This window comes from Homo sapiens, chromosome 12 (assembly GCF_000001405.40).
Source record: "Homo sapiens chromosome 12, GRCh38.p14 Primary Assembly".
In the NCBI taxonomy this organism is placed as follows: Eukaryota; Metazoa; Chordata; class Mammalia; order Primates; family Hominidae; genus Homo; species Homo sapiens.
This window is the reverse complement of record NC_000012.12, coordinates 88,357,944-88,385,029: the sequence shown is the minus strand read 5'-3', so window position 1 is coordinate 88,385,029 and position 27,086 is coordinate 88,357,944. Positions and strand designations below refer to the sequence as shown.

The following is a 27,086-nucleotide window of genomic DNA, read 5'->3' as shown; positions in this document are numbered from 1 at the left end:
ATGGACTGAACTAATATGGAACTGAAATTTTTATGCCTTTTTTATAGGAAACATTGCTGATTATTTGTTTTGTTTTTCAGAGTCAAGAAAACTTTTTTCTTTCAAGCTATTTATAGCCTTTAACAATTGGGTAGAGTATACTCTTGTAAACAAAATTTGAAGCATATTTATCTCTCTACCTGATTTCTACAGAATTCAGAAACTATTTGTGAATATTCCTAATTTATGGCAACATAGTTATTTGCATAAGTTAAATGAAAATCTTTTTTTAATAACAGAACAAAATTGGAGACACTGGTTATTTTTTACCAAGGCTTTTACTGAAATGACATATTTTCACATATAGGCAGACTGTTTTGAGAAACCAAATTTGACTATATAAAGTAATAAACGTCCCTTGGAAAGACTGACCTTGTACCTTGTCTATGTAGTTCCTCACAGGGTTCCTGACCTGTGGTATGTAAAGGATGTCACTTTCTGACAGGCCCAGGAATCTCAAGTTACTTTGGGACTTAGAGAAAAAAGGAATTCATACAGGTATTTTCAGACACAGATAAATCCTTGGCTGGTCTGGGCTCAAGAAGCCTTTAAAAGTCAATTCTAAGATTCCTTATGAAAAAGTTCCTGCAAAGTTGATTGAAAAGAACCTACGTAAACAATAATTCTTGCTAAACTTTATGCAAATAATCAGGACAAATACAATAAGACTAAAACATATATATATTTTTTGAGACAGAGTCTTACTCTGTCAGCCAGGCCGGAGTACAGTGGCACCATCTTGGCTCACTGCAACCTCTGCCTCATGGTTTCAAGCAATTCTCCTGCCTCAGCCTCCTGAGTAGCTAGGATTACAGGTGCATGCCACTGGACCTGACTAATTTTTGTATTTTTAGTAGAGACGGGGTTTCACCATGTTGGCCAGGCTGGTCTCGAACGCCTGACCTCAAGTGATCTGCCCGCCTTAGCCTCCCAAAGTGCTAGGATTACAGGTGTGAGCCACCTCGCCCAGTCCTAAAACATATTTTTGCAAATAAATTGGTTCTACTATGATTTGTCTTTGGTAAAAGTGAGGGACTGGAGAGACAACAATTATGTTTCAGAAGAAAAGTATTATATTAACCTTTGACTCATGGGTGGCCATATGGTCACCCATGGTATGGATCTGCAAATGTTCTGCATTCAGTTGTTAAAGGTAAAAGTTACCAGTAGGATTTAGAGATGCATGGATGCATAAGAAAACTCAAACTAATAAGGAAAAAGTAAAATATTATTCCCTTGTTTATTGTTATCTGTGATAGCTAAAACAAAAGTAAGAGAGTGTTGGGATGGCCTTGAGGCTGGACCAAGCTCAGATATGGGCCTGTCTGAGCTCAGATCACTAGCCTCAAAATTACCCACAAAAGAGGAAATTATGCCAGAAAGTAACTCTGAGACATGTGGTTTCTAACAAGATAGCTAGTGTAGGGGAAGGGCAAAACCAGGTAACTACTGAAACCAGAAGGTATAACACGAAGGAATTGTTCCATTTTGTAGATTGCTATCATCAACATTCTGATGAACCTTTACTAAAATGTATTGTGAAAGTTACTAACTTAAGAGCAATGTCTTTGGTTTTAAATGCTACAGAATGAAGGAGTATATTTGTGCAGGACCCACAGCTCACAATTGAACAATTGCAGATGGGTGTATATAATCCAGACACAGAGGACGTTATTCTCAAGAGAACAGCCAGCCTGGTGGACTGGATGGAAAGGCACTGCAAGATCTGTTTACTCTGAGAAAAGAAACTGTCCAGTTCCACCTATCAATGCCAAGTGGAGCACCCCAGATGAAGCAGTTGATATGCTTCATATGCAAGCCATGGGGAACTGGCTTTATGATGACAGCAGTATTAACCTTTCTTTTTGGCTTTTGGTTTTTTGCTCTCATGTTTTTTAAAGCATTTTAAGGGGTAATGAGTGCCTGACCACCTCCTTTCCTGTCTTGCCTGGAACATTGAATTGGCTATAAGTCTTTTGACTCTAAGTCTTCTGGCTATAGGGGTCCCAGCAAGGGACAGAATAGACCCCAAGTAGGTAGCCACACCAACCCAGCAAAGAAATGGAGCAAAATAAGAGACTGGACATCATTGCTGCCTCTGGCATATCTTGACCAAAAGGGGCTAACCTAAAAATAAAGTTCTAAGCACCCTATCAACTGAACAGACCTACTTGTGGCTAAGGGGACCCCAGTTTCCAAGAGATAAATCATACCTGGGAAAAATTCTTGCCCCCTGCCCTGCCGACGATATGAATAGCCTCCAGAAGTAGGTTGGGTCTTAGCTCCTTTGAAATGTTGTATGGAAGACCATTTCTCTGACCCCTGAAGATTTTTTCCTCCCCTGAAACAGAAACTAAATCATATGTAAAATGATTGGGAAATATATTAATAGTCTCTCTGAATTTGCTTCCAACAGGCACCCGTTTCCTACAGATGTGTCCCTCCACTCTTTGAAGCCGAGGGCAAAATCATGCTGAAGACCTAGAAATCCCACCAGTCTGAAGACCAGCTGCAACCACAATGGGTTAGCCCTTTTCAGGTGCTGCTGACCATTCATACTAATCTGTCAAGTTAGCTGGTGTTAAGCCATGGATTCTTCATACTTAGAGAAAACCAGTCCCTTTGGGATCCCTCCAAGGAAAACAGTGATTTTCTTGTGAACCCTCGGACCGGCTTAAGTTAACATTCAAAGTCCAGTCAAGGCCCTAGATAAGACTTCAGAAAGGGAACATGCACTTTTCAGGTTATTCTTCTCTCCCAAACCCTGGTTCTTTGCATGCAAGATATAATGAATTAGGAAGACTTTTTCATAGGCTTAGGATTGTTCTCTTGGATTCCCCAGGAGATCTGTTCCATATTCTTTGGTATTTTAAAATTTGGTCTATCTATCTTATTAATCATCCAATCTCAATGTGGCTTAAAATGTTCTTCTGAAACCAAATAAAGGTACAAAGACCATGGTGCTCCAACAAGCTGGATGGCAGCCAGGTACTCATGAGTACTGACAATTATAGGTGTGAAATTTTCATTTCTCATCATTATTCCAGGATGCCTCCTCTTCAGCATAAAGCAGCCAGAAAGATTGATGACCAGCTTCCCCAGGATTGAGGAACTGATAAGTGGAAAGAGGGGACTGAAACCACCCCAATTGTCCCGTAGAATTGATGTTTATGATCTTTTGGAATAAACATAGATATTGACCCTCATGGTCTTAAAGATTGAAATGTACATTGCCTGAGTTCCTTCCTCAGAAAACAAAAACTCAGGGCTCTGAGTATCAAGGAACTGAAACTCACCAGGTCACCACATCCAGACAATGAGACAACAGACCCCTTATTCATCATGATTACTTCCTTCCCCCTCCGTTATTCCCGTTTTCCCACATGTAGCTCCATTCCTTCCCTTTTATATAAACTCCCAATTTTAATTGATTGGAGAGGACTTGAGACTTATCTCTCATCTCCTCAGCTGATATCACCTGATTAAAGCCTTTCTTTCATGGCAATACTCATTGTCTCAGTGACTGGCTTTCTGTACAGCAAGGAACAGGATCTAGACCAAACCCCCTGGCATTTTGGTAACAAGGGGAATAAGAAACCTAGCCTTACTGACAGTTTATTTCTTAAGTTGACTTTATTAAAAGGTCAAGGAAAGAAAACTAGCCCAAAGAATAAATGAACATACCCACTTTATCACTTTGACAGGTTTAACAAATTCCTAATGAAGAATAATTTATGTGTTTGCTCAGGCATGGTGGCTTATGTCTGTAATCCCAGCATTTTGGGGGGCTGAAGCAGGAGGATTACCTGAGGCCAGAAGTTTGAGAGCAGTCTGAGCAACACAGTGAGACCACATCTCTACAAAAAATAAAAAAGTTAATTAGGCATGGTGGCATGCGCCTGTGGTCCCAGCTACTCTGGAGGCCGAGGTAGGAGGATCACCTGAGCCTGGGAGGTCAAGGCTGCAGTGAGCTGTGTTTGCACCACCATACTCCAGCTTGGGTAATAAAGCAAGACCCTGTCAACAAAAAAAAGTTAGATTTTTTGTTTGTTTGTTTGAAAAGTGTTAACCTAGGCACAATCTACAAACTGGCCAATTTTTGACTTTTGTAACTGTTGTATATACATCTATAAATATATTCTAAGTAGTTTTCTTATACAGAACAGCATAGAAAAAACACATTAAAAGTCCTCAGAATTATGAGTAATTTGTATAAAAATTTGTAATGACATTTCAAGGTAATTGTTTCTATTGGAATTGTAATAACATCTGATTGCAGCTTCCTTGAAGATTACTAAATATATGCAGTGCTATGATCCTTTGCTGGGTAAGCATTGCAGTTTCGTTGCTGCTTAGCTAGTATGAAATGTTGGATTGTAAAATGTCAATCGTGTAATATATTTGCTTATAAATAGTTACACTCTCAAATGTTGCAGTTTGTTTAGTCCACTAAAGACAGACTATATGCCATTATTGAAAGAAATCTTAGGAAACCTGGCTCCAGAAGATATTCAAACATACACATGCATTATTATCTGCCAAATACTACTAGATCTTGTGGAAATCTTGGTGTGTTAAATTTTGTTACAAAAGATATACAAGGACATAAAAGGCTAAAGTTACAGAACTGAAAGATTGGATCAGTGTCTTAGAAGCAGGGTTATTGTAACTTTTGTTTTTTGAAGGATAACTTGCAGACCATGCTAAGTGAAGTACTTAAGAAACTTTAATGAAGTGGAAACTGAAAGAAAATGACATAAAAACATAGGCACCATTTAAAGTCCTTAAAAAAAACTCAATAGGCCGGGCGCAGTGGCTCACACCTGTAGTCCCAGCACTTTGGGAGGCCGAGGCGGGCGGATCACGAGGTCAGGAGATCGAGACCATCCTGGCTAACACGGTGAAACCCCGTCTCTACTAAAAATACAAAAAAATTAGCCAGGCGTAGTGGCGGACGCCTGTAGTCCCAGCTACTCGGGAGGCTGAGGCAGGAGAATGGCGTGAACCCGGGAGGCGGAGCTTGCAGTGAGCCGAGATAGCGCCACTGCAGTCCGGCCTGGGCGACAGAGCGAGACTCCGTCTCAAAAAAAAAAAAAAAAAAAACTCAGTAGAAATTTTGCAAAAATACAACCACAGCAACCCAATGAATAAATATGTATTTAATGATTGCCAACCTATGAAAATATTTTATAGACTCTATCTCCAAGCAAGAGCCACACAGAACAGAATTAAAGTTTCTGCATCTGAAAGGCTGATAAAAAGTTAAAAACACTACATTTGTCTTCAAAAGTAAATTTGAATAGTGGTGGTATTTAGGAGAACAGCCATTAAAATCATACCATAAAATGTTAAATGATATTGAAAATTCATTTTAATGCATAGTTGTAAAATAACTTCCAAGTATATGCTTCCATAATATGCACTTTCAACCAAGGCTGTAAAGTAATCTGAAGGTTACAAATGTATTTGGTGCACCAAGATTCAATTTATATTAGTCCATTCTTGCACTGCTGTAAAGAAATACTGTCATATTTTACCAAAATATTCAGGTAATCTTGAATGTATTGCCAGCATACCATTTTATATTTTGAAGATGATTGGTAAAATCTGAGTATCTTATAGATTTTAATATGTCAACAAGACTATTTAATGGGAAAAATAAAAGCCTTCAATGATTTACAAGTCATGAGAATTTTTTCCTAATGGTTTATCTAGGTGGAATGTGTAATATAGTTTTAAATTCCACATCAGGCCCTACAAGGCAATCTTGAATATCCAGAAAATCACAATAATAGAGTTTCTGCAGTCCTAGTGTTTGAAAAATTGACATGTATTTTTGTTTTCCTAAGATTTCTTACATTTAAAAAAACACCTTTTATCATTTCCTTCCAATTTATAATTTGATTTAGTCCTTTCAGATAAAGCATGACAACCAAACTTTGATGTAACAGTACTAGCATATTTCCATCCTTTGATGGTTGGTACTTTGTGTCATTGAATATATATTTTGTGCTTTTTTATTAAGCATAAACTCTGCTGGATGTGCAGGAGGGAATTACAGCTCTATTCTACCCCTTCCTTTCCTGTCCCTTCATAAAATTCCTGTGAGGAACAGTGTCACTATGACAGATCAGGTTTTAGAGTATTTTAGTTTTTCCTATGTCTAGGGAGCTATGTCAAGTTAAATGTTAGCAAGCTAAATTTTGGCATGCAGACATGAAACTTTCAGATGATCTCATGAGATAAAGTGAGATAACCTTAGGGATAGCTTTCTCCTGGATTTGACATATGCTCTCATTTGTGCACATGTGACTTTTAATGGCAGGGTGGTTTAATCAGGAAAGTCTTCGTTACAACATAGTAGTAAAAATAATCCCAATTTCAGTCGCTTAAACAACAAATATGTGTTTCTCACTCACACTACATGTCCAGTGCAGGTCATTTGGAGGCTCTGTTTGTTTCTCTAATTCTGCAACACAGACTGATGGAGCTGCCACCATCTGAATACATGCTCTATAATCATAGAAAACAATGTGGTAATTCATGCATTAAGTTTTAAAATTGCTTCCTGAAAGTGGCGTATGTCGGTTTACATTTCACTGGCCAAAACAAGTCACATGCCTGTTCCTAGGTTCAAAAATGGGGAGAAAGTGCCCTCCTATCCTGAACCCAGAAGATGAAAAGTTTCAAATATTTCACAAATACATCTGACAACTACTATAATCATTCTTTCAGAGAATAAGTAAATTACTTCTTGAGCTCTGTGACTGTGGCAATTGAAGTAGATGGCAACATCAGAGCCACTTAGAGTTACATACTCAGGACTTTGAGCCACTTAGTATACATGTTGATGTGCAGAATTGCTTTATTATGACTATAATTCTATATTTAAAGTGACAGCCTACATGACAGTAGAGATAAAATGGTTAAATAGTCATGTAACTATTATAGTCAGAAGCAGTATTTAATAATATTGATGATGAAGTATGAAGACATATTTGATATTCTCCAATAGGAAGTCCTTTTATTGGTGAAAATTAAACTAAAAGCTGGTCTCCTCTCCAAAAGGACTTGAGATAGAATCCAGTCCACTACCTAAGGTCAAGTAGAAATTAGAGGCAGTGATCAGAAGGTGCTCAGAAAGGGTCATAAAGTAGCAAAATTCTACATATTCAGATGACAAGATCATTCCTAGTTAATGGGTAATTGACTGAAAGCATTTCACACAGCAGGTGAGATTAAGCTGTCATAATAAAGATTTGATGGCATTGGTTATTGCTGAGGGTAGGATTATGGGTGATTGTTAATTTCTTCTTTATATCTTTTGGTATTTTTCAAGCATTATAAAATTAAAATGTATTTTCTTAGAAAAAATGAAATAACCAATTGATAGGCCCTCTTTTTTAAAATTTGTAACGCCTCTTAAGGGTCTTGATATAAAGAAATGACAATTTAAATACAAAATGTGTTGAGGCATTTCTATGGTTTGAATGTGTCCCCCAAAGTTCACATGTCAGAAACTTGATCCTCAATGCAGCCGTTTTGAGAGGTGTTTAGGCCATGACGGCTTTGCATGAATGTATGCTGATATTGTGGGAGTGGGTTCATTATTGTAGGAGTGGATTCCTTATTAAAAAAAAAAAAAAAGTTTGGCCTTTTTTTGTCTCTCTCTCTCTCTGTTGCCCTCTCTTTGCCCTTTCCACTTTCTGTCATGGGAGGATGCAGCAAGAAGGTCCTCACCAGCTGCCAGCCCCTAATTTTGGACTTCCAAGTCTATACAATTGTTAGCCAATAAATTTATGTTTATTATAAATTACCCGAACTGTGGTATTTAGTATAGCAGTATGAAACAGAGTAAGACAGAAAATTCATACCAGAGAAGTAGGGTATTGCTAAACAAATACCTGAAAATGTAGACACGGCTTTGGAACTGTATAATAAGCAGAGGCTAGAAGAGTTTGGAGGAGCAGTCTGGGAAAAGCCTGTATTGCTGTGAACAGAGCTTTAAGGACAATCCTAGTGAAGAGTCTGAAGAAGAGAATTGTAGGGGAAGTATAGAACTTCTTAGAAATTATTTAAATGGTCATGGTCAGAATGCTATTAGAAATATGGACAGTAAATGTCATTCCAATGAAGTCTCAGACAGGATTGAGGAATATTTTATCGGACACTGGAATCAAGGACATCCTTATTACAAAGTTAGAAAGGACTTGGCTGAATTGTGTCCTAGGGCTTTATGGAAGACAGAATTTAAGAGCAATGAACTAGAATATCTGGCAGAAGAAATTTCTAAGCAAAATATTGAAGGAGCTATGTGGCTTATTTTAGCTGCATTCAGTAAGATGATAGTGGAGAGAAATTATTTAAACACATAATTAATAATTAAAAGGAAAGCAAGGCACCTGTAGTCCCAGCTACTCAGGAGGCTGAGGCAGGAGAATGGCGTGAACCTGGGAGGCAGAGCTTGCAGTGAGCTGAGATCACACCACTGCACTCCAGCCTGGGTGACAGAGCAAGACTCCATCTCAAAAAAAAAAAGGAAAGCAAAATGTAAAAATCTGGAAAATTCTCAGCCTGGCCATGTAGAGAAAAAGAACACATACAAGGGTGCAGCCAAGCAATCCTGTGATTAAAAGGATTAGCATGGACAGAAGAAAGCCAGGTGCTATTTATTAAGATAATGGGAGGAAGATTCCAAAGGCATTTTAGAGAACTTCAAGGCTGTCCCTCCTATCACAGGCACAGAGCTCTAGGAGAGCAAGATGCTTCAGGGCTTATATCCTGGTTGCCCACCATGAGCTCACTGCCCAGAGCCACCTCAGGACTCTGCTCCACATATTCTGGCACAAGTTCCTTGACTACCTCAGCTGTGACTCAAATGGCCCCAGGTGTGGCTTGTTCTGCTTTTCTGGAAGGCTTAAGCTGTAAACCAGTGATGTCCACGTGGTGCTAATTCTGCAGGTATGAAGAATGCAGAAGCTGGGTGAGCGTGGGTCTCTCCACCTAGATTTCAAAGGATGTTGTAAACAACTGGGTCCCCAGGCAGAAACTTGATGCAAAAGTTGTAGCCACTACAGAGAGTGCCCACCAGGGCAATTCCTAGTGGAGCCATGCGAGTGGGGCCACCCACGATACTCAAAAACTATAGTGCTATCAGCATGCAAAACCAGTCGGAGACAGCTGCAGGCACTCAACTGCAACTCATAAGAACTGTTGCTACACCCAGCAAGACCACAGAGACAGGGTTTCCCAAGGTCTTTAGGACCCAATTCCTACAACAATGTGTCCAGAAAGTGGTACATGGAGTCAAGGAAGATTATTCCTGAGACAAGATTTAATGTTGTTCATCCTGTTGGATTTTAGACTCACTGGGATCAGGTACCTCTTTTTTCTTGTTTATTTATTTCTTTTGGAATGAGAATGTCTATTTTATGCCTGTCCCACCATTGCATAATAGAGTCTCCCCTAATCCCTGGTTATGCTTCATGCAGTTTCAGTTACTCATGGTACAAAAATAGGTGAGGACAATGTAATAAGATCTTGAGAGAGATAGAGAGAGACACCCTATTGACATAACTTTTATTACAGTATATTGTTATAGTCTATTTTATTGTTATAATTGTTAATCTCTCACTGTCTGATTTATAAATTAAACTTTATCGTATATATGTATTTATAGGAAAAACATAATATGTATAGGCATCAACTGGAGGTCTTGGAAAGTATCCTCCAAGAATAAGGGGGTGGGGGTCACTGTATTTTAGATGTAGATAACTTGTTTTGATTTCACAGGTTTACAGCTTGAGGGACATTTGCCTCAAGATGAATTGTGTCTTGAGTCTCATATCTGATTTAGATGAGATTTTAGATTTTGAACTGTTGAGCTGATGCTGGAATGAGTTAAGATTTGGGGAGCTATTGGAATGAATTGAGTGTATTTTGCATGTGAGAAGGACATAAATTTCAGGGGCCGGGGAAGTATGCTCTGGTTTGACTGTGTCTTCCAAAGTTCACGTGTTGGAAACTTGATTCCCCCATGTGGCAGTGTTGAGAGGTGAGGACTTTAAAAGGTGATTAGGCTATGAGGGCTCTGTCTCATGAATAAATTAATGCCATTATTATGGGAGTGAGTTTTTTTAATCACAGGAGTGAATTCCTGATAAAAGGATGAGTTTGGCCCTCTTTTGTCTCTCATTTTTTCCCTCTCTTTGCTATTCTTCCATGAGATGATGTAGCAAGAAGACCCTCACCAGACACTGGCCCCCTGCTCTTGGGCTTCCCAGCCTCCAGAACTATGAGTGAATAAATTTATGCTCATTTTAAATTATCCAGTCTGTGATATTCTGTTATATCAGCACAAAACAGACTAAGAAAGACACAGAGAAGAGTCTGTAGAATTTAGAGAGAGAGATACGGAGGGAGAATTTCTTTATCCAAACAAGAGTTTTCACAAAATCCCTTAGTGGAGTGGGATTAGATGTTATATCAGACCTCTGTTACTTGTTAATTATAGTAGTCTGTAAACATTTATGTTTCCATTAACAGTATAGTAAAATGTCAATAATTCTAATTCCGCAAAGTTGGCTTCATCATTTACAATAATTTGTTATCTTTGGCAAAAGCATAAATTAACAAATCTCATCTAGATATTGTTACATGTTATACTTTGCATCAGCTGAACTCAAATGTACACTTATAGCCAAAGCTTACAGCTCAGAATATGACAACAAGGACAAAGAGAGAGATCTGAGCCCTGGCCCTTGGCAGTGTCCTGGGAAATGGCAAGCTTTAGAAAGAAGTGGCTGTGAATCCAAGAAAAGGGTGGATCTTAGACATTGAGGCTCATGGCCTCAATTAGCAAAGATTTATTTGCTCAAGCATCACCTGAGAGAAGCAGAGCAGCCTCTCTTTAAGGGGCTAGGCAGCATGACAGTAAAAACCTCTTTACCCATTTATATGAGAGGTTGCAATTTTTGTGTGTGTGTAAAAAATCAGACCTTGGCCATGACCTTGAGCAGTAGGCTATAAATAGCTCTCACAAGCTTAGCATTGCAATAATGGAACACTAGCCATAAATGGGTTAATTAAATTAAGAGACGAAGATGAGAGCCTTTTCCTTATTTTATGGGCACTGCATAAGCCTCCACAGTCCTGATGTGCCTCTAGAGAGGAGAGTCCTCCTCCAAAAAATATGAGTTTGAATTTCCTCACTCTACAGAATGAATTGAGATCTCAGCAACAGATTTTACTCAATACATGGAAATGTGATATTCCTTGCATACTTGATATCACGAAGTAAGATTTTACTTGATTTATTTGTCTACATATTCATCTGTTTACTCATTCAAAATTACTTATTGAGTACTTACTATGTATTAGGCATGCTATATGGTGCTGGCTATATACAATCATGCACCACAAAACAATGTTTCAGTCAACAATGGACCACATATGTGACGGTGGTTCTATAAGATTATAATACCACATATTTGTGTGTGTACATATATGTCTTCGTGTGTGTACATATATATTTGTGTGTGTGTGTATATATATATATATATATATGAGTTTTTTAATCACAAAGGTGAATTCCTTATAAAAGGATGAGTTTGGCCCCCTTTTGTCTCATATATATATGTATGTGTATATATATGTGTATATATATATGTATGTGTATATATATATATATGTATGTATATGTATACACACACACAGTAACAAATACTTACCAATGTGTTACGCTTGCCTACAGTATGAAGTACAGTAATATGCTGTACAGGTTTATGGCCTAGAAGCAATAGGCTATACCACAAACCCTAGCTGTGTAATAGGCTATATCATCTAGGTTTGTGTAAATACTGTTCATTCTATGATGTCACACAATGATGAAATCACCTAAAGACACATTTTTCAAGATGTATCCTCATTGTTAGGGGATAGTAATAAACAAACCAGCCATGTCTCCTACTTTCATTGTGCTTAAGGTTAATAGAAAAAATATAAGTAACAAGTAAATAGCTTATATTAGTGCTTTGAAAGAAAAGAAGAGGAGATCATGGGAGAGATTAAGGAGGAGGACATGCTTTAGAATAGGAGGTGGCACCCATGGATATCTAAGGATGCAATGGCACCAGTGATGTAGAGTGAGGGAGAAAGATGTGCCAGTAGAGGCAAGAGCTGTGGCAGGAAGGAGCTTGGCACGCCGAAGACCTTAACAGACAGAGATCAATGTAACTAGAGAACAGTGAACAAGGGGCACAGTGGCATGGGATGTAGGTGAAAATTACACAAAGTCTGAATTTTGCAGGGACTTACAAGTCATGCTAAACATTTTGGTCTTTATTCTCTGTACAAGAAGAAGATTTTAAAGAATTTTAAGCAGAGAAGTAATGTGATTAGAGAAATGGTTTAAAATGATCATTCTGGTTGCTGTGAGAAGAATGAAAAGGAAGAAGTTTAAGAGGGCAAGTGAGTTGGCCTTCTCAGAGGGCAAATTTGGACACTCCTGTAGTGGTATAATCAAGAGGTGATAAAGACTTGGACTATGGTAGTGATCAGGGAGATGGAAACATATGCTCTGGAGATAAAATTGACCTAGCACCAGGGTTGGGTGAGTTGGTTAGGAGAAAAATGATTTCCATATTTTTATTTGGCCAATGATACTGCCATTCACTGCAATGAGGTCCATGACAGAGGCATTCACTGAGAAAGTTAGGCTGGGAGAGAAGTTGAAGTATTCAGGGGTGGAAAAAAAGGGGTTTGGCCTGGGTTTGGCTTGGGAAATGTTAAGTTTGAGACCTTTTTGAGACTTTATGTTCAGATTTCAGGATGGCATTAAGACATACTGGCCTAGAGGACAAACAAGATTCTAGCTGGAGATTCTAAATCTGAGAGTCTTGACATAAATGTGATATTTACAGTCACAAGTGTTGATGAGATCACTTAAAAGGAGGTATATAAGGAGGAGAAAAAGGAGTGTGTTTGGAATGTCAACAAACCATATACAAACTGTCAGGTGGATCAGAGAGATACAGTCATGAGGATCAGGTGTGGTATCCAGAATAATGCGGAAGGCGGATTGAAGTCTGTGCCAGGAACAATGGTAATGGTGGGAGACTTAACAAAGAGTGAGTATAGCTGAAGGAGCACGGGAACAGAAAGTATATGTGTCAGGTGTGAGGAAGAAAATACATTTTGTAAGTTATGAGAACTGTAGAAGAGTGAGTTGAGCATAGTTTGTGATTTTAAGGGTCTCTAAAAGTATTAGGGCAGTGGTGGCTGCTGCATGCAGACTTGAGGGCTAGGCAAAACAGTAAGGTCAAGTTGTTTGGAACAAAAGGCTACAGGGCGTGGTCCCGGCCCTTGTGTAACAATTCTGACTGCACAGCCCTGCACTTCCAGCCCAGCTGTGGGTAATGAAAAGGGTTGGGATGAGTCAGGGAGAGCTAGGGTGGCTTCAGTCTCTAAAGCTGTCTTCAAGGAACGGAAAGAGGAATGGAGAAAGGATTTAGGATCTATGGGGTCAGCTAGGTTTCCTTTTGTGAGTTTATATAATGGTTTTGTTAAGATGGCGAAACCAGGCATCCAAAATCGAAAGTATCCAACCATGCCTAGGAAGGAAAGGAGTTGTTGTTTTGTAGAAGGTGTTGGGGTTTGAGAGATCAGTCGGACACGATTGGCAGGGAGAGCATGTGCATTTTTATGAAGAATTATGCTGAGGTAGATTACGGATGGAGAAGAAATTTGAGCTTTGGAGGGGGACACCCAATATCCTTTGGAGAATAAATGCTGAAGGAGCAGAAGGGTGTCTTGTTGAGAAGATTCAAAGGAGGGGCTACAAAGAAGAAGGTCATCAATATATTGAATAAGGTGAGAAGCGGAGGGGTGGAAAGAAAGTAAATCATGAGAAAGAGCTTGGCTGAAGTAATGAGAGCTGTCCCTGAAACCCTGCGGCAGCACAGCCCAGGTAAGCTGCTGGGACTGATGGGTGTCAGGGTCAGTCCAAGTGAAAGCAAAGAGAGGCTGGGATGAGGGGTACAGGAGAATAGTGAAAAAAGCATCTTTAAGATCAAGAATGGAATAGTGAGTTGTGGAGGAATGTATTGAGGACAAAAGAGTGTATGGGTTGGGCACCACAGGGTAGATAAGCAAAACAATTTGGTTGATAAGGCACAGATCCTCAACTAATCTGTAAGACTTGTGAGGTTTTTGGACAGGTGAAATGGGGGAATTGTAAGGAGAGTTTATAGGTTTTAGAAGCCCATGCTGTAACAGGCGAGTGATAACAGGCTTTAATCCCTTTAAAGCGTGCTGTGGGATGGGATACTGGCGTTGAGCAGGGTAAGGGTGATTAGGTTTTAATGGGATGGTAATGGGCATGTGATCGGTTGCCAGGGAGGGAGTAAAGATGTCCCATACTTGTGGGTCAAGGTAGGGGGATACAAGAGGAAGACGCAAAGGAAGCTTTGGGTTGGGAAGAAGAGTGGCAATGAGATGTGGCTGTAGTCCAGGAATAGTCAGGGAAGCAGATAATTTGGTTAAAATGTCTCGGCCTAATAAAGGAACTGGGCAGGTGGGGATAACTAAAAAAGAGTGCTTAAAAGAAGGTTGTCCAAGTTGGCACCAAAGTAGGGGAGCTTTAAGGTGTTTTGAAGCTTGGCCGTCAATACCCACAAAAGTTATGGGGGCAAGGGAAACAGGCCCTTGAAAAGAAGGTAATGTGGAGTGGGTAGCCCCCATATCAATTAAACAGGGGACAGACTTACCCTCCACTGTAAGAGTTACCTGAAGCTCGGTGTCCGTGATGGTCCAGGGGGCTTCCAAGGCGATCGGGCAGCGTCAGTCTTCAGCCACAAAGCCAAGGAGATCTGGGAAGGAGTCAGCCAAGGAACGTTGGGTTTGGGCTCCAGGGGCTTTAGGAGTGGCGGCGATGTGAGTCAGACAGTCTGACCTCCAGTGGGGGCCCGCACAGACAGGGCACATCCTAGGAGGAATCCCAGGCTGCAGGCACTCCTTGGCCTAGTGGCTATGCTTTTGGCATTTGAAGCAAGGCCCACGAGGATGTTTTGAAGGAGCCCCTGGGAGCTGTGACTTGGATGTTCTGAAGTTCTTGTATGCTGGAGACGTGGTTGTGGGCTGTCTTACAGCGGAGGCAAGCAGCTGTAACTCAGAAATGCATTGCTGTCTGGCTACCTCCTCTCCATTATTGTACACCTTGAAGGCGAGGTTAATTCCTGTTGTGGGGTTTGAGGGCGAGATTCTAACTTTTGAAGTTTTTTCCCAATGTCAGGAGTGGATTGGGTGATAAAATGCATATTAAGAATAAGACCGCCTTCTGGCCCTTCTGGGTCTAGGGCGGTAAAGCGTCTAAGGGTTGCTGCTAAGCGGGCCATGAACTGGGCTGGGTTTTCGTCTTTACCTTGGGTAGTTTCTTTAAGCTTGTCATAATTAACAGCTTTGTAAGCTGCCCTTTTAAGCCCTTCAGCTAGGCAGGAAATCATGTAATCTTGCCTAGCTATACCTGTGGAATCTGCCTGATAGTTCCATTGGGGATCCTCTCAGCGAACTGCTCTAATGCCTTCCTGGAGGTCTGGTTCTTGAAGCCAGCGGTTATCAGCATGAGATTGGGCTAGAGAAAAAACTCTTTCCTGTTCATCTGGGGAGAGGGTAGAAATCAGGATAACATTTAAGTCACTCCAGGTTAAATTGTAGGACAGAGTTAGATATTGGAATTCCTGTATATATTTAGTGGGGTCTGATGAGAAAGGGCCTAAACGCTGACTGATCTGAGAGAGGTCTGATAGAGAAAAAGGTACATGTACCCTGACTATGCCTTCAGCTCTAGCCACCTCTCTAAGAGGAAATTGTTGGGCAGGTGGGGAAGAGCTAGTCACGGAACTAAACTGTAAGCTGGACCGGGTGTGAGGAGGGGAAGTGATAGAAGGATTATAGGGTGGAGGAGCGGAAGCTGAGGGAGAATTGGGACTTAGCTCGGCCTGGCAATGAGCAGCTTGGGGAGAAGGGGAGAGGTCAGATGGGTCTGTAGAAAAGGAAGACTGGAAAGACTCAGCGATGCTTGGGGTTGGGACAGAGGGGACAGGCGGGAGGGAAAGAAGGAGGATTTGGGAGGAATCGCATTGGGAACAGAGACTAGGGAGGGAATGAAGTGGGAAAAATGCCTGGATGTAAGGCACCTCAGACCATTTGCCCATTTTTTGACAAAAATTATTTAGGTCTTGTAGGATGGAGAAATCGAAAGTGCTGTTTTCTGGCCATTTAGAGCCATTGTCAAGTTTGTATTGGGGCCAAGCAGTGTTGCAGAAGAAAATAAGACGCTTAGATTTTAGGTCAGGAGAGAGTTGAAGAGGTTTTAAGTTCTTAAGAACACAGGCTAAGGGAGAAGAAGGAGGAATGGAGGGTGGAAGTTCATAGGTGGATCTTTCTCACGGAGCAAAGAGCAGGACAGGGGATTGATCTCCCAAGGGAGGTCCCCCAATCCAAGTCGTGGCACCAAATTTCATGCACATCCGTGTGAAGAGACCACCAAGCAGGCTTTGTGTGAGCAACAGGGCTGTTTATTTCACCTGGGTGCAGGCCGGCTGAGTCTGAAAAGGGAGTCAGCAAAGGGAGATAGGGGTGGGGCCGTTTTATAGGATTTGGGTAGGTAAACGAAAAAGGGGAGTTGTTCTCTGGTGGGCAGGAGACGAAAAAGGGGGGTTGTTCTCTGGTGGGCAGGAGTGGAGGTTACAAGGTGCTCAGTAGGGGAGCTTTAGAGCCAGGATGAGCCAGGAGAAGGAATTTCACAAGATAATGTCATCAGTTAAGGCAGGAACAGGCCATTTTCACTTCTTTTGTGGTGGAATGTCATCAGTTAAGGCAGGAACCAGCCATCTGGATGTGTACATGCAGGTCACAGGGGATATGATGGCTTAGCTTGGGCTCAGAGGCCTGACACAAACCTTTCTAAATTTCCAGGGAAGAGAAGACAATTTACAACGCATTTTAATATAATTCTGATAAGTTAAACCAAAAAATTAGAATGAAGCAGAAGAGTATAATCTGTTTTGACCTTGACAAGAAAGCTTATTTAAGCACAAATACTTCCTTTTCCATGGATGTCAATGTCACTTAGGAAATTCCAAAAGATTTTCTAGAAATTAGTGCATTTAAGGAGTTGACACACTGGGGAGTAAATGATAATTTACCATGATAGCCAACTCAAATTAATTATTTATCATGCATAAATAAGATGTTAAATTTTCCTTTTCAGATTAACAGCAGTGGCTTTGTTTTCTGGCTCTGTAAGGCTATTAAGCTACAGGAAAGACTTTACTTTTAGAGCATGAGAAAATAAGATATTGGAAGAGAATTCCTTAGGTTAAAAGAGTTTATTTAGAAAGTTAAAGTATTATTGCTGAACATGAAGACTATTATGTTAATTACTATCTTCAACTGTTTAATGTCAATAAAAACCTTTCCATGTTTCTCAAGAGTACTTCCAGACAGAGCACTACATGTAATTTTGAGGAAGTATTAGGCAGAAAATTTTAGATGTTTCCAAACATTTGCAGCCAGGAAATCTCATAGGGTAGAAAACCTCCTACTACATTTGTCATATTAACATCCAATTATGCACAGAGAAAAGACAAAGAAACACAGTAAATTGGAGAACAATGTGTGTTCAGCATAGCACACATGTATTACCAACAGGATTAAATATCATAGATTAGTTAAAGCTTCTAAGTACTCTTTCATGGAAATCTGAAGAAAGGCATGCAGTAAAAGATAAATAAAACAAAACTTAGAGTTTTACAAAAGGATTTGAACTCATGAAAATACAAAATGGAGCATCATCTCAACTAATAAGTTATCTGGATCATGACCTTCTCTTATACCTAACACAAGACTAGAAATATGAAGGACTTGTATGTGTTGTAAACATCCTCAAGCTGTGAAAGTTCAAAAAAAGAACAAATCAGAATGTATGAGTGAAAACAAAGTTCTTTTAAAAGTAGTACATTTGGGTGGATCATCTTGGTAGATCTTTCTCTTGAATTGGCTTATCTTTTAAAACAAGAGAAGCTTTAGCTAAACTGACAAAATTAAGACATCTCAATTTGTAGACAATTAGACCCTCTATTTGAAGGAACACTGTGACTAGAGAAAGAGACAATGGATTTTCATTTGAAAAATGCCACTTTTATTTTTAAAATGAAGTAAATGTCAAAGACATACTGCTGGGGTCATGTCCTAGAAAAGCACAACCTCAGACTTCATACCTAGATTTAAATAAAGGGATAGTCAGACATCTAAGCACAAAAGGTGAATGTGCCAAAGTTCTGGGTCAGGTCCTCCTTGTCTCTCACCTAGCCTGTTGCAACTGCTTCCTAAGGAGCTTTTCACTTTCCCTGAGAACTGTGCTTCTTTCAGAGCTTCCTCCTGGTCAAACCTTGTCTTGAACTTTCTAATCCTGCTATTTCATTTAATCAGGTTAGATCATCTGGGAATAATCATGTCCTAAATCTTTACTTATTGAAATCTTATTCAGCCTTCAATGTTCTGCATAAAGAATAAATGCCCCGTATTCCTCACTGTTAGAAATAATTTTCCTGGCACTTTCCTGTATAACATCTTCATCAACGGCAGCAGCATTTTTCAGGCACCTACTTTGAGCCAGGCATTGTGCAAGCTAGACGTGTTAAATTCTTTTTCTAATTGCCTCCAAATCCCAGCTATTTCCCTCCATAGTAAGCCTGGGTTGTTACTCTGCAAGATTATAAGTTCTCTCTAAGCAGAAGCTGAGCTTTATTTACCTTTATATCCTTTAGCGTGTAGTAGAACCCCTAGCCTTGCACAAAATGGAGTGTTGGTAAATAGTGATTGAATGTGGAACCCTCTTTTCATCTTGTTTCTCCTAATTAACATTATGAACTATCAAGTACTCATTCAGAATAGACAATGCAGTATACCAAAAAACATTTTCATAGCCATTTATTTGTTCATGGCTGGATATTTGAAATCTTTGGAGAATTGCACGTGGCTTGGTTAGCTATAGTTAACAGCTCATTGAGTTCCTTCTGTTGATGCAGGGAATAATGCAATGGGTGACTTGGAGCTTGGATTTTGGTCTAACTAAAGTTGAGATTGTGACAGTTAGCAAAGCTTATCCACCAGAGTGGGTCTGAATGGTGGAAGCATGGGAAAGAATGTATTTGCCTTCCCTAGAGGGAGAAGGAGCCTCAGTGGCAAGAAACAGTGACTTGGAAACTCCTTAATATGGCATTCAGGGCCTATAACGATTGGGCCCCTTTTCACCTCCCTAGGTCATGGTGCCAACTTTCTGTGTTCTAAGCTCCAATCATAATAAACAATAGCATTTGCATTCCTCTGAACAAGCCAAGCTCTCTCTTATCTCAGGGGTTTGGTCGTGCTGTTTCTCAGCCTAGTACTGTAATCGGCACTCTATTTGGTGACAAATATTTACTTTTATAAATCATAACTGTGCTTAATGGGATCACATCAAGTTAAAAAGCTTCTGCACAACAAAGGATGCAATAAACAAAGTGAAGAGACAACCTACAGAATGAGAGAAAATATTTAAAAACTACGCACTTGACTAGGGAATAATAACCAGAATATGTAGAGTTCAAACAGCTCTATAGGAAAAAATCTAATCATCCCATTTAAAAAATGGTCAAAAAATCTGAATAGGCATTTCTCAAAAAAAGACATCCAAATGGCAAACAGGCATATGAAAACATGCTCAAAATCATTGATCATCAGAGAAACGCAACTCAAAACTACAACCATAAATCATCTCATCCCGGTTACAATGGCTTTTATCCAAAAGATAGGCAATAACAAATGCTGGCAAGGATGTGGAGAAAAGAGAACTCTTGTACACTGTTGGTGGGAATGTAAATTTGTACAACCACTATGGAAACAGTTGGACGCTCCTCAAAAGCTAAATCATATAATTCAGCAGTCCCGCTGCTAGGTATATATACTCAAAAGAAAGAAATCAGTAAATCAAAGAGATAATATACTCCCATGTTTATTGCAGCACTATTCACAATATCCAAGATTTGGAAGAAACTGAAGTGTCTGTCAACATATAAATGGATAAAGAAAATGTGGTATATATATACAGTGGAGTACTATTCAGCCATCCAAAAGAATAAGATTCTGTCATTTGCATCAACATGGAAGGAACCAGAATTCATGTTAAGTGAAATAAGCCAGGCATTGAAAGACAAATTTTACATGTTCTCATTCATTTGTGAGAGCTAAGAATTAAAACAATTGAACTCATGAAGATAGAGAGTAGAATGATGGTTACCAGAGGCTGGGAAGTAGGTAGTGGGGGGTGATAGGGGAAGTAGGAATGGTTAATGGGTATAAAAATACAGTTAGATAGAATAAATAACATCTAGTCTTTTATAGCACAACAAAATGACTACAGTCAATAATAACTTATTATTCATTTTAAAATAACAGAGTATAATTGGATTGTTTGTAGCACAAAGGATAAACGCTTGAGGTGACGGATATCTTATTTACCTTGATGTGATTATTATACATTGTTTGCCTTTATTAAAATATCTCATGTACCCCATAAATATATACACCTACTATGTACCCACCAAAATTAAAAAAGAATTTTTAAAAAATCAAAACCGTGTTTGTTCAACAATCCTAAATGCAAAATTTTTACAACCCAGAATAGAAAGGCATGTGCCCAGCTCTGGTCCTATTGAGATTATTCCAGGATTCTGAAGTCATTAGGAAGGAGACACTCAGAAAGAAAGCTCAGACTCTCTGTCTCCCAACATCTTCATCACAAGAATTTAAAATTTATCACACAACCTGGAATTATGAAGATTTTAGACTTTGACATAATTCTTAAAGTAGTGGTGAGATTCTTCAGCATCCAGTATGAATAAGGAGTTGGTTAGAGAAAATAATGTGGCAAAAGATGTTCTTGTTAAACATTCAAGTTAAACTTCTCATATAGAGCATCCCGGGCATTTACTAACTCATGGAAATGCTTGAATGAGCATGGATGAATGATTCTAGCCAGAGCTTATAATTTAGTATAGTTAATTTGTCACTCTTGAAGGTAGTAACTTGTTTTTCTATGCAATAAAAAGAGTGGGAAGGTCACTGGGCTCCTCTACTTTTCTTCCAGAAAGAAAGGGAAAGAAAACAAGCTAAAGATGATTGAGTGATTGTAAGAAACAAAGCTGTTGGTATCAGAAAATAAGAGAAAAAAGGACAAGGGATAGTGAAATTTGCATACACATAAAGTGGATAATCCATTCCAGTCTAAAATCAGCATCATTAAATAGTTTTTCAGTTATGTATTCTTATTCATAATCTAATTAGTTTTAAACTTTGATTCCACTTGGAAAATTTTAATCTGTCTCCAAGTTTTCTTTTTATGTTATTTGGAAAGGTTTTTCTGAAAAGTCTTATAAATTAGTAAATACATTTGGTTTTCTCAAAAAAAAAAAAAAAGCTGCAGTGACAAGTTTCCAGTGCATACTTATTTTTGCTGCAGGTATGATAAAGCATATTTTGAATGTGATCTGCATAGCATGTCAGGAAATAGGTCAGTCTCCCTAATGTTTTATAATGTCCTAAACCAGTTAACCATGTGTTGTCCAAAAAGTAAAACAGAAAGTAGTCTATTTGAGAGACAAAAATACAAACAGCAATTCTGCATGAATGATAATTTCCCATGCAGTCCTACAGATTTATGGTTATTTTTAGATCTTTTCCCAGAATAATTTGTAGTTTAAGTGGATGAAGTTTATAACTATGGGAAATGACTTGCTGTATCTTTCACTGTGAAGTCTTTTCCTTTTCTTTCTTCACTCATTTGAATAAAAGAGGATATGTATAAGTAATGCAGATAGCATTTGAGCGGGAAGCTGTGATCTTCACTGATTAAGCATCACAGAAATAATTTTTATGCAGCACTTGATAACAAATTATGCTTTTGCACGTATTACCACAACCATTCTTAGAACTGATGCCAATGTTTAGTAATAATCAAGTAAAGAATCTGTCTTACAAAAAATAAAACAAAACAAGAAATAAAAATAGCAACAAAACAAATCTACCAAGATTTGTATAGAGAAGAGCTCATAAAGAAAATAATCTTCGGATGAGAATGAATAACAAAAAAGATCCCTTCTTTCCCCTTAAGAAACTTTTTTCTTTTTCTTTTCTCTCTTTTTTTTTTCTTTTTTGGTTCTTTCAGTTGGATTCCTGCCTGGCTGTCAGGGTGGGAGGAGGTGTGAAGGTTACATATAAATTCCAGAAAGTCCTCTTCTTTTCTATCCTTATTGAACGTTTACTTTGGCATGACTAAGTCCAAATAACCTTGCCAAAAAGAGCTCTGTAATTAAACTCTAAAGAAAAAAAATACCTGGCATTTCCACATTTTCATGGCACATTTTCAAAGCTGTGCCAAAGGAAGAAAAGCAAACAATATAACAAACAACAACAAATAACCTTGATAGAGCCCCTTACCCTAACAAAAATTGCCCACGAGCTTCAACCATGTCAATACAACTTTGCAAAAGCCATTGCTGATGTCTCCCTCCAGCCCCTTGTCTCCTCAAGATTTTGTGATTTGGTCTTTACCTCTCTAACTTCATTTGGATAACTGCTTTTATCTTGTTCTGTTTTGGTGCCATAAGCCCTCTTGCTCCAATGCCCTGAAAAGGCTCATCTGAAATGATACTTTCTCTCTTTTTATCCCACTCTGCCTTAGTTTAACCACTGCTTATACTTTAGCTATGAGGCCAAATGCCCAGTCCCTCAGAGAGGCATTTCTTTATACTCCATGAACATAGTCTACACTAGGTAACCTTCTGTCTGGCTCTTATAATCCATATAGTCATTAACATAGTTTGGATATCTATCCCCTTCACATATGTTGAATCACAATTGCTCCCTCCACTTCACTTTCCACCATGAGGGCAAGCTTCCTCATCAGAACAAAATTCTGGTACCGTGCTTCTTGTACAACCTGCAAAACCTTGAGCTGAATAAAGTATTTTCTTTATAACTTACCCAGTCTCAGGTATTCCTTTATAGCAATAGGTACCCCCCACACCCTGTTCCCAATCCACAGTTTAGATTTCTAAAATTTCAGTTACCCACAGTCAACTGCCATTAAAACAAATAAATGGCAAATTCCAGAAATCAACAATTCATAAGTTTTAGATTGCATGCTTTTCTGAGTTATGTGATGAAATCTTGCAGTGTCCCACTCTACCCTGCCTGGGACATGAATCATCCAGCATATCCACACTGTCTGTGCTACCTGTCCCTTAGTCACTCAGTAACCCTCTTGGTTATTAGAACAATTGTCACAGTATCACAGTGCTTGTGTTCAAGTAACCCTTATTTTACTTAGTAGTGACCCTAAAGTGCAAGGGTAGTGATGCTGGCAATTTGGATATGTCAAAGAGAAGCTGCAAAGTGCTTCCTTTTAATTAAAAAGGTGAAAGCTCTTGACTTAAGAAAACAAAAAAAATTGTATACTGAGACTGCTAAGATCTACAGTAAGAACAAATCTTATGTCCACGAAATTAAGAAGGGAAAAAGAAATGTATGCTAGTTTTGCTGTGGAACCTCAACTACAAGACTTACAGCCACAGCCCATAGTAAGTGCTTTGTTAAGATGGAAAAGGCATTGAATTTGTGGATGGGAGACATAAACAGAAATGTGTTCTGATTGACGGCAGTCAGTTTCAGTACTATCCTTGGTTTCAGGCATCCACTGGGGATCTTACAACGTATCCCCTGCAGATAAGGGGATGTCTTTCCAACTTAGTATTTAACATAGCTTCTAATTATACATTTACTTGTGAAATATTTGGTTAATGATTTTTTTCCTTCACTAAACTGTAAGATAAATGAAGAGAATGACTGTGTTTATTTTTCCATCACTATATCCATATAGTGGGTATAGTGGGTATACCCATAAAACCTAATTAGTATATGTTACATAACTGAATGGATGGATGGATAAATAAAATAAGAATGGATGGGAACTCCCCTGCTAGATGCATTCTCTAGTCTCAGCTATGTGAAGGTATCATGATACTGTAGGACAACATTGTTCAATAGAAACATGAGCCATAGATGTCATTTTAAACTTTCTAGTAGCAACATTTTTTTTTAAAAAAAAGAAGAAACAGGTGAAATTGATTTCAATATTATATTTTCATTAACCTAACAGATTCAAAAGGTTATAATTCCCTTGTTTAATCAATATAACATATTTTAATGATCTATTTTACTTTGTAAAATATTAAATCTAAAAAATCCTATGTATATTCTATAGTTCCTGGCCTACTCAATTTGGACTGGCTGCATTCCAAATTCTCAATAGCCACATGACCTGACAATAGCCACATGACCTGGCAAAGTCCAGTGAAGCAGAACTGCCAGAAGTTTATGTGCATAAAGAAAGATCCTAGAGAGTAAGGCAGAATTCATTGCAAGGGAGAGTTGAAAACACTGATTCAAGATTGGTTTGGGTAAAAGGGGAGGAGGTTTTTTAAAAAAAAAAAAAAAAGTTTTTTTCCTGGAATTTGAGAGTGCCACACGAGAAGAGATAAAGTAGAAGAGGGCCATGGGGAGAGGGCTAAAATGGAGAGGCTATAGCAACAGCTCTGACAAAGAGCAGAATAAATGGAGGAGGACAGGGTGGTATGCTGGACATCCTGAACAGGCTGAGAGGGATCTGAGGGATGGTTAGAAAGCTCAAAAGTTTCTTAATTGAGTCAGAATTTAGCATATTATTTGTTAATGTTATTTTTCCCTGAGAAAATGTGCTGGACAAAAAAAAAAAGTGTAGTGTTTTTAAAATCCATCTATTTTAAAATCTATCTATTTTAAGACCTAGTTTTGAATATGTGATTTGATAGTCTCTGTTTTAAGACTGGGGAACATAGTGAGAACCCTATCTCTACAAAAAATAGATTGAAAAAAAATTAGCCAGGTGTGGCAGTGCACACTTGTGATCCCAGCTGCTTGGGAGACTGAGGTAGTAGGATCACTTGAGCCCAGGAGGTCAAGGTGGCAGTGAGCATTGATCGTGCCACTGCCTGGGTGACACACTGAGACTCTACCTGAAAAAAAAATAGTAGTTGTTTTAGAAGATACCTTGTGCCTGGATTCTCAAGTATATAAGAGGGATAATTATATCTAACTGAATGGCTGGATAAATATTACATGAGATAATGCCATATTTTCCCAATATAGTACATACTTCCTGGCTTGTCTGTGGAATTGTCCCACTTTTAGCGTAGAAAGTCCCACTGCCTGAGACAAGTTGGAATGGCTGGTTACCTTATTTACATGTGAGATAAATTTTATGGGAATCTTTTAAATTTTAATAATTATATATGTTTATGAATATGTTTATTTTAAAATAGGGTTTTTACACATGAAACGTGCCAGTTATTATTATGTAAATTAGGGACAAAGTGGGTAGGCCCCTGTGTATCCAATTTAGACAACAACATGAGTAATAGGCACAGTGTTTGGGCACGCCTGTAAATATTTTAAGCCTTTAAAAACTGAACTTTTAGAATAACTATTCAGAAGTGTTGATAATGGATATGATGTGTGTCACTGGTGAAGATTTTCATGTACTCAATTTCCATTTACATTGTTTGAATTTCCTTTAGATTTTGTTTTGTTTTTCCTTTTTTTTAAGGCAATCTAGAAAAAACATTAGTTTTAGTGACAAAAATGTTCATGATAGTAGATGAGAGACTGGGGTTTGGGAAGTGTATTAGTTCATTCTCATGCTACTATAAAGAACTGCCTGAGACTCGGTAATTTATAAAAGAAAGAGGTTTAATTGACCCACAGTTCTGCATGGCTGGGGAGGCCTCAGGAAACTTACAATCATGGATGAAGGGGAAGCAAACATGTCCTTCTTCACATGATGGCAGGAGGGAGAAGTATGAGAGCTGAGTGAAGGGGAAGCCTCTTAAAAAACCATCAGATCTCGTGAGAACTTACTCACTATCCACAAGACTAGCATGGGGGAAATGCCCCCATGATTCAATTACCTCCCACTGGGTCCCTCCCATGACACGTGGGGATTATGGGAACTACAATTCAAGATGAGATTTGGGCAGGGACACAGAGCCAAACCATATCAGGAAGTATTGAGAAAATGTGTATATAAAGCATCTTTCACAAGGCCTAGTCTATTACAGATGCTCAAGAAGTGTATTGTTCTATCTTCCTCTTTCTTCGTTGTTTGTAAGGGAACTTTGTAGAAAAGAGATGCTGAAATTAGGCAAATCAAGGTTTGAATTCTAACACTGCCAATGACTGATTGGTAGACTTGAAGGATGTTATGTAGTTCTTCCAGGACTCTATATAACAGTGGATAATGGGATTCACTTCAAAGTATCATGAGGGTCCCAGGAGAACACTGGTATAAGCAAAACAATTACATAAATTAGGGACTTGGTAAATATAATCCCTTCTTTTTCAATTTTTAAAGGTAAATTAAATAGATGATTCTGTCTATTCTTAATATTTTCTTCATTCTCTATAATTCAGGGAAAATGTCACACCTCTTCTAGTGTCTTCCTCCAGCTATCAAGCATTAACTGAAGTATAATAGCAGCTGGGACTATTAGAACAAACCTAAACAAAACAACTCAAATATAACATACAAAGCCCAATACAATTATAACAGGTATAACCTTGAAATGAGGTAATATGTTCCAGTTGCTGGAAAAAAAAATATAGATTCAAATAGTTTGATTCTGTAAGATATTTTCCCAGTGATTCTAAAAAAGGCACATTCTCTTGTCTTCTGCCTTAAAAAATTTTCATACATAACAGTACACTCTGATAACTTTGTTCCTGAGTAAAGGAGAGAGAGAAGGAAAGCAAAAGAAAGAAAAAAAGGAGGAAGAGAAGGAAAGGGGAAGGAGGAGAGGAAAAGAAAGAGGTGGGTCAAAAGGAGGAAGAGGAGGAGGGAGAAGAAGAAGACAGCA

At 38.7% G+C, this 27,086-nt stretch overlaps 1 long non-coding RNA gene across 2 annotated transcripts in view, besides 1 other annotated feature; it reads left to right on the top strand.

The window, feature by feature from the left end:
• Window positions 1–5,721, top strand: part of LOC124902978 (uncharacterized) — a 39,971-nt gene extending 34,250 nt beyond the window's left edge. For both annotated transcript variants that reach the window (XR_007063396.1, XR_007063397.1), the window contains exon 2: window positions 2,456–5,721. This is a non-coding gene — a long non-coding RNA (uncharacterized LOC124902978). The remainder of the gene's footprint in view (window positions 1–2,455) is intronic.
• Window positions 1,284–1,343: an enhancer, noted in NCBI's record as "active region_6701". NCBI's record gives its function as "activates an Ori minimal core promoter by ATAC-STARR-seq in GM12878 lymphoblastoid cells {active_cell/tissue: GM12878}" and the evidence as "EXISTENCE:reporter gene assay evidence [ECO:0000049][PMID:35858748]".
• Window positions 5,722–27,086: the final 21,365 nt, after the last annotated feature.